This window comes from Homo sapiens, chromosome 3, assembly GCF_000001405.40.
Source record: "Homo sapiens chromosome 3, GRCh38.p14 Primary Assembly".
In the NCBI taxonomy this organism is placed as follows: Eukaryota; Metazoa; Chordata; class Mammalia; order Primates; family Hominidae; genus Homo; species Homo sapiens.
This window is the reverse complement of record NC_000003.12, coordinates 21458418-21475765: the sequence shown is the minus strand read 5'-3', so window position 1 is coordinate 21475765 and position 17348 is coordinate 21458418. Positions and strand designations below refer to the sequence as shown.

Sequence of the window (17348 nt, the reverse complement as noted above, 5' to 3'; positions counted from 1 at the left end):
CACTTGCTTTGCATGAGTGTAGGTATGCATCAGTTATTTTCTTGGGAGACTGAAAGAGTTAATGGGCCTGACATTTTAAACATGTGTGCCTTTAACTTTGAGCAGAATGGAGCTCTTTGGCTCATATTAAAAAATTAAGATGTCTTGAAATTTCACACAATTTTAGAAAATTGGAATCCGGAGGATCTTTCCTCTTGGCTCTTTTTAATATTAGAGAAGTCAGTCTAAATAATAACTTTGGATTTTAAGAAAAGATAAACCTTTTGTTTTAGTAACTTTGAAAAATTTTAAAATGTATATCGAATCCCAAAATTTCTCAAAACAAAAATCAAATAAAAGGGCCATTAGATATTTGAGAATACAGATGTATTTTTATTTCATACATGAAATTATTTACTTAAACATCACAGACAGAAGGTTCACTGCTCCAGATTTGAAACAGATACCTTCAGACAAATAGTTATAGAATACATATAGATTTTAATGTGAAATTCCCAGTATAATTATTAGGTTGGTGCAAAGGTAATTGTGGGTTTTACCCTTACTTTTAATGGCAAAAACCACAATTACTTTTATGACACCCTAATACACTGTATAACATAAATAATTCAAAAATTCAAAAACTAGTAATGGTAGATGGGATAAAACAAAACAATTATTTCCCTAACCTAAATTTCTTGTGAAATTTTCCTTTAGATTCCTAACCATCTCAGTAGCATTTTTTCACTCTATAAACTATATGAAAAAATATATAACATGTCAGGGGTTTAACTGCAAATTAAAACAAAAAAAATTATATTCTTAATTTTGTATTTTCTGTACAAACAGCTAGAGAAAGGATTTCTTATCAATTACACCAGATATGTCTTAGTCCTAATTAAAATATAAAGCTATTCAAAAAAACATGTCATGAGGAATGTAATCATTAATATGAGGAATTTATCACTTATGTATAATTTGATTAGCAAAGCCAAGCTGAGTTTCAAACAGTACAAAATGATTTTGGGTTTTGAGGACAGCAAGACTTGTGAGAGGATTTTGACTAGAAAATATTTGATACATATTTAAGTATCCAAAATTATTATTCAGTTTTCTTTATCAGGATTTACAACACATTAAAAATATTTCTAACCTCCAAAGTAAAATGGGAGAAATTTCAGAGATATGGCAGTTTGTACTATAAGCAGATGGTGTAGGATAAAGGCTCATTTGTGTGTATCTGATGATCTTGGACCTACAGTCACCTCCAAACAATGTGTTTGACCTTGGAGAGTGATTTGGCCTCCCAGAACCTCGTGTTACTCTCATGTTACCTGAAAGGATAGAATGAGATCAGATTATTTAGCACACATTTGTTTCTGGGGCACCTACTCATTGTCCAGAGATCTTGTTAGGTGCTAGAGAAATGCAACAGTATAGACACATAGTCTTCATGGTTTGCTATCCTCACAGTCCTCACAAGGTGTATAGTTGTATAGTTTACCTCAATCCTGTAGTCTGGGGAAACTTCTCCTGCCACTGTGGATAGAGACATTCCTTTAGGTTTCCCTACGTAAGCCATGGCCAATGGAAAGCAATAAAGAAGAAAAATGGGCTGGTTGAAAAGTTAGACAATGCCTCAAAGCAACATCAATCCATTAAAAAAAAATTTGTTCCACGTGTTCTCGAAGGTACTAGGTATACAGTGCTCAGTAAGTGCCTCACAACTTAATGGATGAACTTATAATATATAAGATACATATATATACACACACACATATATACACATATCTAGCTTACACATATTTATATATATATAACAAGGCATATATGATATAAAATATCTGCTATCTTATGATATATCATTAGGCTTATAAATTATAGTTTATGTTAACTACTATTAAAAGGCAGATGGTTTAATAGAAGAAAATGGGTGAGCGTCTAAATTAGATTGATTAACCAGGAAAAGTGTCTCTGAATCTCTGGTCAGCTAACATTTATGTCAAGAACAGAGATATAAGAAGGATTCCAAAGACGTTCAGCCCATTCAAGGGAGAAAGTATATGCAAAGAGCTTGAGACAAGAAAAAATTAGCATATTAGAGAAACTGAAGATAAATATGTCACTCAGGTTTGAACAACAGGGTTTAGAATCCATCTTTGTTTTAGTAGACAGGTTAAAACTGATTACAGGTTCAGTAGAAAAACTCAAGGAGGAAACAACCTTGAGAAGCAAGCTATAGCATTGGTTCAACAAGGGGCCACTTGCAGTATCAGGGAGACACCCTACAACTAGAAAACAACCACACATAAAACATTTCCCCAGACAAACCAGATCCTTCCTTGATACTATTTGCCAGAAAAGGAGATAAATAAAAGAGGCAGAAATTTGTTCCTTCAATCTCACGTAATCTAATTGGAAGAAAATAAACACAGCCAGGACCTATGTGACCTATGTGGGAGTTAATTTGGGAAACAGAGTTTTTAGCTCTCCAACCTTTGGCATGGGTGCTGAGCCAGACCACCACATCCTCCACAGAAAAGGAGACCATGACCTTCAAGCAGACAGGAGCCAAATCATACTAGAGTTTTGCAAACTGTGACAAGCAGTTGCACTTTTAAAACAATAGGAAGCCATCAGAGGGGATTAAGTAGGAGTTAGCTTTTTCAAATGTTTAGTATGGTTTTAATGTAGGGAGTAGATTAGAAGTTAGGAGTGAAATCAAGGTGATTGAAGGTGATTACGTCAGTTTAGGCAAGAGGTGATGGTGACTTGGAACAGTGTGGGAATAGAAGTGGTGAGTAGATTTAAAATAGATTTTTGGTATTCTGAAAAAAAACTCTAGACAAATTAAGTTTAGCAAAATTTATCTGAGCAAAGAACATTTACAAATCAGGTAGCACTCAGAACCATGAGAGGCTCAGATAACTCTACCCAGCAATGTGGGCAGGCGATGCAAATAAAACAAAGAAGTTGCATACAGAAACAACTCGATTGGTTACAGCTTGTCATTTGCCTTATTTAGACAGGCTATGATGAGGCATCTCCTTATATGAACATTGTCTGATCAGTTGGCAGCCTGTGATTGGCTGAAGCTTAGCTGCTGTAATTGGCTGAGACTCAGCTCTTTGTTACAAGGCTATACCCATAATTTAAGATGCAGTTTGTTCGCATATTAAGTTAGATTGCAGTTTGCTGCAGGTGGAAGCAGCTTTAGGTCAAATTTATTTTAATTTAACAATATAGAAACAAGAGGACTTTTTGATGGATTGGAGGTAAGAGGTAACACATGGACAATGGGCTCAGGGATAAGTGATTGGCTGCATAGTGTAGCCATTTACGGCTGATGATCAGATTTCCTAAATTGGAGTTGACCACCTTTATTTAGGGATACCCTACTAACTTTTTTTGCTCTTATTTTATAGTCCTCCTCTATGTCCTTTAGCATGGCCATTAGGCGCACTTCTTGTCTGGCTTTTTCTCTTAGTTTCAACCTCTTCAAGAGTAGAGATTTCTTGTTATGCTTCTAAATTTATTTTGTATAACTCTAAAGGGCCTAGCGTGGTTCCTTAAGTCAACAGATGTTAAAATGTAACTAAATGTTTCTTCCTTTGTCATCTTCTGACTTTTGGCAAGATGATTTCATGATAAATGTAAGAAATGATCATTTTAAAAGCTTTTGGAAAAAGTTGAGTTTGAGAATTTATTGACGAGCGTAACATAAAATAAAATTTAAATATTCAGGTCACACTGTGTTGAATGTATTTCAAGACAACAATAGTTCTAATTAATCCTCACATAAACACAAATTTTCTCCCTAAATTAGGCAAAGTAATCTAGCAAACATAGCATTTTGTTTTCTGAACTTATGTATGTAATAAAATGGGAAGAAGTAATTATTATGTTTTCTTCCAATGAAGATAAACATAACCAGCAAATAATAATTGATTTTCTTTGTCTCTCTGAGATTTTAATGCTCAAAGATATTCAGAAAGACCCTGTAAATCTACTCAAAAAGAAATAATTTTTCCCAAATGTATCAAAACTAAAAAGTCTTAAGGGAAATGTTTCCCATCATACTTCAAGCTATTTCAAATAAGACAAAACTGACTGTAACAAAAAATATTTTGATGTTTAACTCGAGGGGTGAGAAGTGTTTCTCTGTGTTCCATCCTCTGGGAATTTTTGATCACTAAAGATTTTGTATAATGGATTAATTAACAGAACTGTTTCCACCATAAATAATGTAGGCTGACATTTTGTTGAAGAGAAATGAGTTGCTTATTTGTTTTGGGCTCTTTAGTGAGAATATCAGAGGTGCTTTAGGGATTATGTATTAATGGAACCTCTGCAATATTGGCAGACTATGGCTTTGAACTTTGTCCATGAAAATAATGTCCTTGTATGGATAGATCCTACCAAGTAGTAGTAAAAAACAGCCATCACCAAGGTGTGTGTGTGTGTGTGTGTGTGTGTGTGTGTGTGTGTGTGAGAGAGAGAGAGAGAGAGAGAAAGAGAGAGAGAGAGAGAGAAAGGGAGGGAGGGAGGGAAATATGGTTCAGTGAAATGAATCCTGGAAGGAAGGGAATATGGTTCAGTGAAAGGAACCCTAACTCAGAACTCAAGATAATTTGGGCATAACGCCGGCTATGACATATGTGTCTGATCTTGGGCAAACCATTTGTGCTTTCTTTTCATATGTAAATTGAGAGACTTAGAACATGAGACCCATCATCTAACTCTAAAATTCAATGATTTTATCAATGGACAATAAGGGATCAATATTAGTCTATATTCCCTTTAAGTATTGAAAATAGAATATGAATTTGGAGCCCCACTACTTTAGTCTACTATCAGACTCTAATGGCACCATTTTGTTGAAATGCAGTAGCAAACCTTCCCAAAGTGTGTTCCAGGTTTATAAAGGTATACTGGGCCCATTGTGGCTGAAAGCTGGGAATGATCATTCAAAACCAATTACACTACAAAAAGACAGGATTTTTGACTTTGTCAAAACTCAAAATATATGTATATTTTGCCTCCGTAGTCAAACCTAGAGGACACGTCTGCCTGAAGGAAGTTTTCCTGTGGATCTGGCTCAATTAGGATCTGTGATAAGAGAATAAAGAGTATACCCTGACTAAACGCTGGGAAAACCATTTGTTTTTGCTTTCCCAGAAAAATTAAAGTTTGAAACCATTTTAAGCACACATCTCACTTGATTTGGCCTTTTCTTTATATATTTTCATGTCATCAGTTTATTTTGAGTAATGTCTTTTGATAGTACTTCTATGAAACTATACTTTAAAGTTTTAGAAAGGTTTATTTGTAAGTTTATATAATGTTTTCTCATTTTTTACTCTGACAGTTTTATAGAAATCTGGGGACAATGTAGGCAGAATACACCCACCCCATCACATTTTAGAACAATGCTAGTGAATTTGGGCTGAGAATTCTAAAGCAGGACAGCTACCTGCTTTCCTGAAGCTACCTAGAAAACTGCTTAGGATCCACTCCATTTTAAACGAAAAGGTTGTTCATAATGTGCTCTCAATTCTTTAACTCTTTCAGTACATATTTATTGAAGAATTGGTCTGTGAGGCACTGCACTAGGCAAAGTGACAAAATATAAAAAGGTACATAATGGGTTCTCTTACCATAATTATTCAATGAAGTTGTACTTTTCCACGGGGAAAAAGTACTGTAAGTGCCTAATATGATACACAGTAAGCAAAGTGCTTAGAGAAAAGTAGCTATACTTAGTTGCTACGACTTCCATTTTATCTGGCTTTCAAATCAACACGTTCCATTAGTAGATATATCCTTAGTCCTTTTACCCATTAATTTTTTTTTTCTTAAAGCACCTGCTTTGTGGAATACTTTGCAAGAAATGAAGGATTGCTTTGGATCTCCACTGTTAAATGTCTAGACCACAAAACAATTATTGGCTTTTTTTTCCTTTAAGCCTTTTTTGTTTAGCTGTTTAAATACTGTTAGTTCCATTTTAATAATTATTTCTTTAACTGTAAGTGGTCATTCCCATGCCCAATTATTTGTTTCACTACAATAAGGAAAATAAAACCTGAAACATTTTTTAAGTAATTGAGTTTCCATCAGTTGAGATAGTTATTAAAAAAAGAACTTGAGTATCAGTGGAACAACTTATAATAAAAACAAACTAAAAACTTTTCCCAGAGTATAAACCTAAATGTATTCTTTTGTCTGATATATGTTCAATGTATATTTATTAATATAGTTGAAAAAAATACACTTGTTTTCGCACTCCCTAAACTTCTCATATTCCATTTGAATAAGCTTTTTAAAAGGAAGGGCTAGTACCATGTGCTTATATTTTGCTCCCAAAGAAAAAGCAGCATGTACTAAAAACATGTTTCGTGACGTATGAGGTCAGCTGGAGGCAAACTCACACTTACTGCAGGTTGTGAGAGGACTCAGAGTGACATTTACCTTGGTGAAATCACAATGTGACCATGATTATTTTTCAACTTCCTGGCACAAAAGTCTGTGGCCTCCTCTCATGTTCCATTTACAGCATGCGAATCATTATGAGTGAGGAAGTTTTAATTGCTTTACTGTTTTGTTGAGGCATAATTTACATACATAAAATGCAGATTTCAAATGAATAGTTCAATGAGTAGACAAATCTGCTCACCAGTGTAACCATCACCTTAGTCAAGATATAGAAACTTTCCATCACCCTAGAAATTTTACTCATGCACAGTCCAGTCAATCCATCCCCACACAGAGGCAATCACTAATCTGCTTTGTCACAGTACCTTTGTTTTTCCTTTTCTAGAATGTAATATAAATGGAATCATACTATGTATTCTTTTTTTTTTAGACAGAGTCTTACTCTGTTGCCAGACTGGAGTGCAGTGGCACGATCTCGGTTCACTGCAATCTCTGTCTCCCAAGTTCAAGCGATTACCCTGCCTCAGTCTCCCGAGTAGCTGGGACTACAGACTATGGGCGCACCACTACGCCCGGCTAATTTTTTGTATTTAAGTAGAAACGGAGTTTCACCATGTTGGCCAGGATGGTCTCAATCTCCTGACCTCGTGATCCGCCTGCCTCGGACTCCCAAAGTGCTGGGATTACAGGCGTGAGCCACCGCCCCCTGCCCATACTACGTATTCTTTTGTGACCAGTATCTCTTGCTCAACATAGGGTTTTGAGGTTCATACATGTTGTTTATGTGTCTGTTCATTTTTCTTTTTATTGCTGAGTAGTATTCCCTTTTATGAATATACCACAATTTACCCATTTACATGGTGATGCATATTTGGGTTGCTTTCCAGAGGTGCTTTTATGTATAATTATACTCTGAATGTCTGCATATACTTTTTTTTTTTTTTTTTTTTTTTGAGACAGTGTCTTGCTCTGTTGCCCAGGCTGGAGTGCAGTGGTATGATCTTGGCTCAGTGCAACCTCTGCCTCCCAGGTTCAAGTGATTCTCCTGCCTCAGCCTCCCGAGTAGCTGGGACTACAGGTGCCCGCCACCACAGTTGGCTAATTTTTGTATTTTTAGTAGAGATGGGTTTCACCATGTTGGCCAGGCTCATCTCAAACTTCTGACCTTGTGATCCGCCCGCCTCAGCCTCCCAGAGTGTTGGGATTACAGGCATGAGCCACCACACCTGGCTCCATATACTACTTTTATGGACACATTTTTTATTTTTTGGTAAATACCTAGAAATGGAATTACTATGTTCTAGTTTAGGAGTATATTTCACTTCATAAAACACTGCCAATCTTTTTTTCAAAGATATTTTACCATTTTGCATTCCCGTAGACAAGTCTTATTTGTACCTATTTTTGCCAACAAATGGAACTATCATTCTTTTATATTTTAGCCTCCCTAGTGTGTGTTACATGGTTTCTTATTGTGGTCAATACCCTCATTCCATATAATGCAGAAACTGTAATTTAGAAGTATTACCTTGTTCACATTCATACCACATGCAAATACCAGAACCAGCATTTTGAAGGTGCTTTTAACTAGAACGCATGGTGTTAGGAATAGAATTTCTGGGTCCTGAAAGATATGGCACCCAAATGAACCGCACATGGTCACTGAGGGGAAGCATGGGTTTGATGGGACAGAATCAGGATATTGAGTTACCAGGGAAATACCACAAAAAGATGCCATTGACACCAGGCATCTAAGGCCAGGACAAAGCTCTAGTAGTGGAAGTGAATTCAAGTCAGCATGTTTGCCAGCTTGCCCCCTTTCTGCTATTCGCAGGTTAGACTAAATTAGAGATGTTTAAGATTTACAAAAATGCCTTAAACTATTTTTTGTAAATAATTTTGTTCCCCCCAAAAACTATAAAATCTGCATGCATCAGTAATAATGTCTTAGAGAAACAGTCTTACTTTGTCTTCCAACTTACGGGCACTTAGAATCAGAATAATGTTTTGGCAAAGAAGCCCCGTATCTAAAATATTTTCTAAACTCCTAATAACTACAATGTCAGCAACAACAAAAACAAAATGGTCTTGGTTTTTACATTTTGAAAAAGTTTATGGAATAGGAAAGTAAGTCAGGTTCAAGCAATAGGAAAGTAAATGTAATTAATGTGTTCAGGTTTTGACAGAAGATATTACTGACTTAAGTTTCCTTCTTAATTTTACTTTGACATGTTATTCCATAAGCACATTGATGGGGGGCATTAATGAAATAAACTACCTACTCCATCAGTATTCAGCACAAGAACCGAGTTCAGGGAGTTGAGAAATCCTGATCATTGGTAAGAAGCTTGGTATAGTGGCAGGAGCATAGACTAAGGATTTAGAAAATTTGGGTTCAGGTCCAGAACTTTCTTCTCTCCAGCTCAAAGTCCTTGGGCTGGTTATCTCATTGTTTTGGGCCAGTATATTCTCATTTATCAAATGGTGGGGCAGTAATAGATACTCTCCTAAGTTCACAGTCCTCTGAATTTTTCTTTAGTTACCTATCAAAGCCAATAGCTCATGGATACCTCAGGCAGGGAGGAGAAGAGCGTGTAGTGGGGTGAGATCATGGCATCAGAGGAAATAAAACTAGCTTTTCATTTTTTTTAACAAATTTTTTGTGTGACTTATGAATGCCATGAGCAGGACTCACTAGACATAAATAAGAACAAGATGACTACATTACCATTTCTTTCAGGCTAGTGAGGAATGCAACCAGTAGGCAGGAAATTGAGATACAGGTGTTGAATGTCATGATGTTGTGTGGTCAGAGGGATATATGCTTTAGTAATAGTATGCAGGAGGGGTTTCTAGCCCATTGTAGGGTATCCTTGAAGGCTTCATAGAAAAAGAACTTTCTTAGGTAAGAGGTAAGTACACATTAGCCAAATGAGGAGGAAGAATGAACCATGCTAAAGGCAAAGTAACATAACATTTGAAGTTTGTTATTCTTTTCAAGGAAAAGAATAAACTTCAATATGACTAGAGCAAAGTGGATGTATGAAGGAGTAGGCAAAGTGAAAGATGAGTCTAGAACATTAAGCAGGAACCAAACCCTTAAGGACCTTATAAACCATATTAAGGTCATCAGATTTTGTTCTACAAAATGTTGAGAAAATGAACATATTATAAGGTAAAGATTGATCATGCATTTGCCTATTAGGATGCATGGGGTGGTATAATGGAAGATGTGAAGACATTATTTGCAGGGCTATTGCAGTTATCCAGGTGAGAAATACTAGTACAATTCAGTATTAGACAAAATCGGGTGCATTCCAGGTGGTAGGGTCGTAGACCACTCTGCTATTAGAAATGAAGATGGAGACCCACTTTTCTAAGATTTTTGCAAACCCTAGTGGAGATGCCTAGCACATTTATGCAGCAGAAGAGCATCTCTATTTGTGCTCACGGCAGCTCCTGTATCCTGAGGTGTGATGGAGAATGAGTGTTGTGTAGCCTGAGAGTGGGTCAGCCTGCAGGAAGGGCATCTGACTATTTGCCAAATCCTAACACCTAGCACCTGGCTTACGTCTACTGCATGATTAATTACAAACATAAAATGGGTGATAAAGAAACAAATTATAGAAATGTTGTAAATTCACACAGGTGAATTTTCACAGGAAAGGAAGAAGCAGAGCCAGGAAAGAAAATAAGATACACGGAGACTTACACAGATGTGAGACAAGAGTGCCAGGAAATATGCATAACTCGAATACATTCTGGAAGGATGTATTTGAAAATTCAGGCTTATGCCCTGTGATAATCAACATGTATCGCTCCTGACTGATTCATTCTTTTAGGGATTTTCCTAGACTTTAAAATGGTTTGTCTCATGTTACCTACTCTGGCCAGGTGATGAGAGGCTGTGGCCCTCTTGGGAAGAGCAGAAGAAACTTTCTCTTCCAACTGATCTTGAAAAGAGAAAGTATTTCAAATTAATTGGGATTATATATGGCTTTGTTAGACCAAAATATTCAGTGATGAGAACAACCTTTAAAAATTAGTGTGTTTTGCATTAGACACCTAACTGGATAAATACAAATAGTCTTTTAGCAAAAGAAATTGGGAAGACTCTGGAGATAAGTGTAGTTCCCTATGTGAAAATAAAAGTGAAAATATGTAAATTTTCACTGTGTTCAAGGGCACAGTGAAAACTTACGTGCAAAGAAATATTTAACAAAAATGCTCCATATAGACAGAGACAGCTTTGGAAATCTGTTGAAAACAAGATGTAAAGTACCTGGATATGAAATCTTTCTGTAAAAATGACAAAGTATTTAATGAGAAAGAAATTTATAGCTTCTTATTTTGTAGCAGAGTCCTTGGCCGGCAGTGGGGTCACATGATGGTCTCATAAACTTGCTTGGATTCCTCTGTCTGCACCCCCACTGAGAAGGCAGAGAGTAGGCCGTGTAATGTGTGGTAAGCAAGGGTAATATCTCATTTTCAAATGAGTTATATTTCTACAAATATTTAATAGGCTACGCATCTTCTGGGATTGTTTTTCTCTTATCCAGAAATTATTGCAGGGATGGTGTTCATGAGTTGCATAAGTGTGTGTGTGTGTGTTTTAATTTATTTTTTGGCAGCTGTAAATAATTGAGTATGTATATGTTTTTTCATATGAAGCGATTTTGGAGACTGTGTCTTGAAAATATGGCATAAACATATTAATGTTGAACTGCAGCTTCTAACAGCTGTGGTTTAAAAACTGCAATTCTAGAGCGTAATCTATTTAAGGAAGAGTTGACTGTTGTATCTGAAGCTAATATAATGTTCCAGAGAGAAGAAAGCAAAGATACTTGAGTGTCTGAGGTTCTCTGTGTGTATATGTATGTGTATGAATGCACTTATGAGAGGAAAAAAAGGAAGACAGACAAAAGATTGAGAAAGCAGAGAAATATATTTTTAATTTTTGTTTTTTAATATAAAAATGCATATATTAGCAGTAAGATTTATTTATTTCAATTTAGAACCATTCTGAGATGACCACTTAATAGAAGGCTTTTGTTTTCCATTTGAGAATATAACATTACATATTTAACAAAATTCTATGTGTATTATGTATTACTTTACATTAAACCTCCAGTCAGCGATTATAAAATTATGATGAAATCTGCAATTACTTTCTCAAAAGCCTACTTTACATTATTGAAAAACTGCTTTATCAAAAACCTTGAGAATATTGTAATCAGTAAAATATTTGTTCTGGGGAGAGATTTAAATGAGTTTAAGGCTTATTGTAATCTTTGCTTCCTTTGGTTAAGCCAAGAATTGTATGCAGCATTTACCTCAGCTGAGTGAACTTCATTAATTGCTTTGTTTCATGTGTTTCATGTATATGTGTGATACAGCCTCCTATAAATAAGAAAATATGGGACAGAGATTCTTATTCCTGTTGCATATGAAAAAAAAAAACTGAGGCTAAGCAGCTCTCCTAAGAGTACACTATATTGTACTAACCATCTGGGAAGAAAAATGTAACTCTAGAACTGTAAACATTCAGCTCTATCCATAATTTTGGATTTTGGTTAGTAAACTCTGTCATTGAAAACTGAGGGGCTGCAGATCAGAAGAGGTTTCTCCTGATTTCCAGATATTTGGGCTGGAATGTAATCACCTGGAAAGAGTGTATCTTTTCATATCTGTAGGCATCAGCGGACAAGACTAGCCCCTTGGAGCCTTGGGTGAGAGAAAGCGAGCCAGCCATTCTAGAGGGCCCTGTCTTCAAGGCCAGATGTGAAGGGGCTTCACAGCTCCTCACTCCACCCTGACACTTGGCTCTGAGGAAGCCCTCAGGCTGCTCAGGGTCCCAGGTGTGTGCCTCCACCTGGGGCTCAACCGCTGAGCTCTGTGACTGCTTCGCTGTGCCACTGTGCATGCTCTCTATCTCTTCATTAGTTTAAGTAATTAGTAGTTTTTCTAATTGTGAAAGCAATATATTGTAAAAGTATTTTAATGCAGAAACAAATCACAGTGTCAATCCCATAGACTTCCTTCTAGTGTCCCTGTAAAAATATATTCAACGTATTTTTTTTTATAAAAGCCACATCATATTGAATGTAGTATCTGTTTCATGCTATTGAATTTTTTTTGCTCTACTTTTATTTTTACTCTTAGTCTATTTTGGGAATTTTGTATGTTTACAACTTTTAAATTACTACATCTAATAAAATGATTTGTAATACTCTTAATATCATTTTACCTTAACCTACTTTAAAAAATATTTTAAGTCTGTATTTCTTTTGTGAAACAGTATTTTAAAGTTTTTATTTTTTTTGGTATTGCCTCTTTAGGTTTTTTGTTTGTTTGTTTGTTTGTTTGTTTTTGAGATAGAGTTTTCACTCTTGTTGCCTAGGCTGGAGTGCAGTGGTGCGATCTCAGCTCACCACAACCTCTGTCTCCCTGGTTCGAGTGATTCTGCTGCCTCAACTTCCTGAGTAGCTGGGATTACAGGTGTGAGCCACCATGCCCAGCTAATTTTTATATATTTAGTAGAGACGGGGTTTCACCATGTTGGCCAGGCTGGTCTCGAACTCCTGACCTCAGGTGATCTACCCTCCTCGGCCTCCCAAAGTGTTAGGATTACAGGCGTAAGCCACCGTGCCTGGCCAATGTTGCCTCTTCAGCTTTTTTGCTTACTTGTGTAATGTATTTTACTGTTGCCTTGTATAACTTGAACTCTGTAGCTTTTAAATTTTATTTTGATTTAATTTGTCTTTTAACCTGCTTTATGTTTTTATCTGTAGCCTCCTTAAAGTTGCTATTACTTCTACCATTATTCTCAACATATTTTAATGTCAACTTTTACCCTTAAAATGGTATCAAGGTATTTACCTACCTGCCTACCTATTTAGCTATTTCTAAGTTATATTTCTTCTCTTGGCTTACTTAATTGCAAGTAACATCATTTATGCCAGGATCTGCTCTGAAGTGAATCCCTTTCTCTCTTTCAGTTGGTTCTATGATGAATGTCTGCTTACTCACTGCATACTTATTAAGTTCCTAAATTCTGGAGACAAAATTCTGGCTCACAAAAATATAGCCTGAGAAATTCTAAACACTAGGGAATTCTATATGACATATCTCTAGGGAAAAAAAATAGAAAAGAGATTAAAATTAGAAAAGGTAGTGTTTAGTTTTGCATACAACATCTCTAACCAGCAAGCCATGTGGAGTTTCTAGTCTAAGGGATTATTTGTGTATGTTTTGCTACTGAACATGATGATGATGTGCCAAACTGTCAAACTTCAGCGATGAAAATATTATAAGTGACCAAAAGAATTAAGTCACATATAAAATTTTTATTAGGCAACTATTATATATTAGCTATATACTTTTAACTATCACTCTAAGAACTAGAAAGTCACAGGAAGGCTCTAAGTCAGATACTTAAGTGCTCAGAGGTTAAAAATAATATTAATAAGGCCACAGATATGTCTTTGTCCAAGTTTCAGCAGCAAACTGCTTTGCTGGACATTTGTAGCCATCCAATAAGCAAATTGTCAAGAGACCATCCATATCCTCTCCATGAGCATTTGAAATGTACAGCTACAAGTTGATAGTGTATGATTTCAAATGGCTAGAGACCTAATTAGTTGCTGCGCAAATTTGAAGGCAATTAAGTTACTATTTAACATTTGGCCCAACATGAATAATTTGAATTTAAAACGTCTTTACTAGGATTGCTGTCTTAAATAGTCTGCTTTGAAATTAAAACAATTTCAAAGAGGAGATTTGTTTGTTTGTTTGTTTGTTTGTTTTTGAGATAGAGTCTAGCTCCATTGCCCAGGCTGGAGTGCAGTGGCACGAGCTCGGCTCACTGCAACCTCTGCCTCCTGGGTTCAAACGATTCTCCTGCCTCAGCCTCCCAAGTAGCTGGGAATACAGGCACCCACCACGACGCCCAGCTAATTTTCATATTTTTAGTAGAGACAGGGTTTCACTGTGTTGGCTAGGTGGTCTCAAACTCCTAACCTCATGATCCTCCCACCTCAGCCTCCCAAAGTGCTGAGATTACAAGCATAGCCACTGTGCCAGGCCTCAAAGAGGAGTTTTAAATATAAAAAATTCAAATATTCTAAATGTGAAGACTAACAAGAACAAAAATCAAACTTCAAAATGATTTTGAAGATGAAAGGCAGAGAGTTTTCTTTCATTTTGCATTCCTTTCTCACCTCAATTCCCTAAAATATCATATGTGATGGGAAATATATATTGTGGTCTTGGCACTGCAATGCAGAGCATGTGACTTTATGTGAATTAATTCAAGTCTCTCAATTTTTGTTTCCACATTTTAAAAAGAGTCAAAAATAGATTCCGCTCTGATTGTAAAGAATTTTGTGAAAAATTAATGGGTAGAAAAACATTTAGCACACTGTACAGTGCTAAACAAATCCTAGAGATTATTAAGGTAAACAACTTAATATTTTTCTCATGACAGAGAGAAAGCTGAGACTTGAGTCTTCCAGGGACTAGTTCACAATTTCAGTGGCCCTAATTAATTGCTATTTTTCTGTAGAAAGTTCTACATTATGACCCCAAATGAAATTAGAAAACCATTAATTTTGGAGGTTATGAATGTTGTAATAAGTAACTTCATTGTATCTCCTTTCCTTAAAAAAAATTGTAGTGAATAGAAAATGATATAAAATATTTTTTACACATGTACAACAAAAAGACCATACACAAACACTTGAGTGTTCATTAGAGAACCCATTCATTGTAGCTTTATCATGAGATTATATAGAAAGATTTCATTTCCAAGCTGAATGCAATATAATAATTTTTTAAAATTGGTTGCTTTATTTATTTTGTTCCTATTGATGTACACAGCTTGCATACATGTTGTGAAAGGTTCATACTGAATATAGTTTAGCATAATCAAAGTTAAATGACAAATATTCATTATCCACCCACTGTTTTATGGGTCTTTATATTATTTTTGACACGATCTGGTGTCTATGAAATAGTTAAACACACAAAGAGTTAGATTAGGGAATCTGAATTTTAAGCAGACACAAAAACCAAAAGCAGTCTTCTTCAAATTTACGTTAGTCATTCATGCAGGCCAGGGCATATGACACTAAACAATACTTGAATTTTATTTTTTCTGGCACTGAGAAGAAAAAAAAGATGGTGTTACTGGAAGAGCATCTAAGCATGAAACTGAGGTCAAGCCTGAGTCTTTGGAGAATTCTTATGTAAACAGAATCAAAAGAAACATGGACACTAAAGAGCAAGCTTAACATTCAGAGTAAATTGACTGAGAACTCAGAAAATTTGACAGGTGATTTAGCAGCAGCCAATAATATTAGTGACATGGGCTGATGGTTGTGGCACTCTAGGTCATAAAGCGACAACATGGGAGGTTGTAAGTGATCAGTCTGGGACGTGGAACAGAATTTCATATTCCCAGACTTGGAGAGTAGAGGGCTGGGTTCTAAAGTCTTCACACAAGATAAAAATTGAATATTGTCTTAGTTATCCTTGAACATATCTTAGATGGCAATTTGAAGCAAATATTCCATCTCTCTTGAATGCCCAATTTGTCCATTTTTCATCAAGCAACATAATAGTTTATGATACATTTGGCAAGTACAAGATAAGATAGTTGTGTGTTTATGGGCCATGTTGTTTAAAACTAAAATGTCCTCGGCATGGTGGAATACTTTCTTGATAGGGATTGAGAACTGATTGAGGGTAGAGCATGTCCTGACTGGCCATCTTGTGCTGATTTCACAATATTGTCCACACCATTTAATTTGTGATTGCCTATACCATTTATATTATTTAAATTTTTTTTTGCATTTATATGGTAGTATAATATTTCATTCTGCTCTTCTCCTCTTTCCTTGAAACAGAGATAAATACAACACTAGATTCAATTATTCATCCAGCCAGCCACATAATAAGTACTTTATTGAGGAGCTTACCATATTCCAGATAGTGCCCTTTTGAGATTCACCATCTGGGAAAAAGGTTAGTAATTTAAAAAATAATTATAGTAACATAATTAGTACCAAAATAGCAATATAGACAAGGTGTTATAAGCCTAAAGAGAAGGAATCACCAAACTTCTACCATGACTTTTGTGTTGCACCTTGAGTCAAAGGCTCACACTCTCAACAGGATAGCCCAAAAGCACTTAAATAGCACAGCAGCTGTCTCCTGTCTTGAGACTTCTGAAATCTACCCTGTATCAACATATGAGTTAACATTTCATAGAACCTGTGCTCCCCTCTTACCCTCCCAGGTGATAGTTGTGCTCCCTCATAGTAAACAAGAAACAAAGGAACTAGAATGTAAGAGGAATTTTCACAACGTATTACTTTTTAAAATAACAGCTTCATTGAGATATAATTCACATACCATAGAATTCACCCATTTAAAGTGTACAATTAACTGGTTTTAGTATATTCAGAACTTTGTACATCACCACTATCAAGTTTAGAACCCCCTAAAGAAACCACATACTCATCATCAGTCCCGCCCCCCCACCCCGCATTATCCATGGACTCCCTCTCCCCTCACTACCACTAATCTACTTTGTGTCTCTCCAAATTTGCCTATGCTGGATATTTCCTATAAATAGAATCACAGAATACCTGGTATTTTGTGGCCGATTTCTTTTATTTAGCATAATGTTTTCATGGTTCATTCATGACACAGTTTTTGCCATGGCTTTGTCCCTTTTTAGTCCAGAATAATATTCCATTATAAGGATATACCACATTTTATTTATCCTTTCATCATTGGTAGAGATTTAGCCCTCCCCTCCCCTTCCCTTTCTTCTAGAGACATGGTCTTTCTCTCCCTTCCCTTTCTCCTTGAGACATGGTCTTTCTCTGTCACCCAGGCTGGAGTGCAGTGGTGTGATCTTGGCTTACTGCAGT

At 36.0% G+C, this 17348-nt stretch overlaps 1 protein-coding gene across 19 annotated transcripts in view; it reads left to right on the top strand.

Moving 5' to 3' along the window:
* Positions 1 to 17348, top strand: part of ZNF385D (zinc finger protein 385D) — a 960546-nt gene that overhangs the window by 896998 nt on the left and 46200 nt on the right. For 3 of the 19 annotated variants that reach the window (XM_011534122.3, XM_011534124.4, XM_011534123.3), the window contains exon 6: positions 16317 to 16434. The exons of the other annotated variants lie outside the window; for them this stretch is intronic. In XM_011534122.3, the coding sequence (XP_011532424.1) occupies positions 16317 to 16402 (86 nt within the window). In that variant the 3' untranslated portion in view covers positions 16403 to 16434. The remainder of the gene's footprint in view (positions 1 to 16316; positions 16435 to 17348) is intronic. 19 annotated transcript variants of the gene reach the window in all.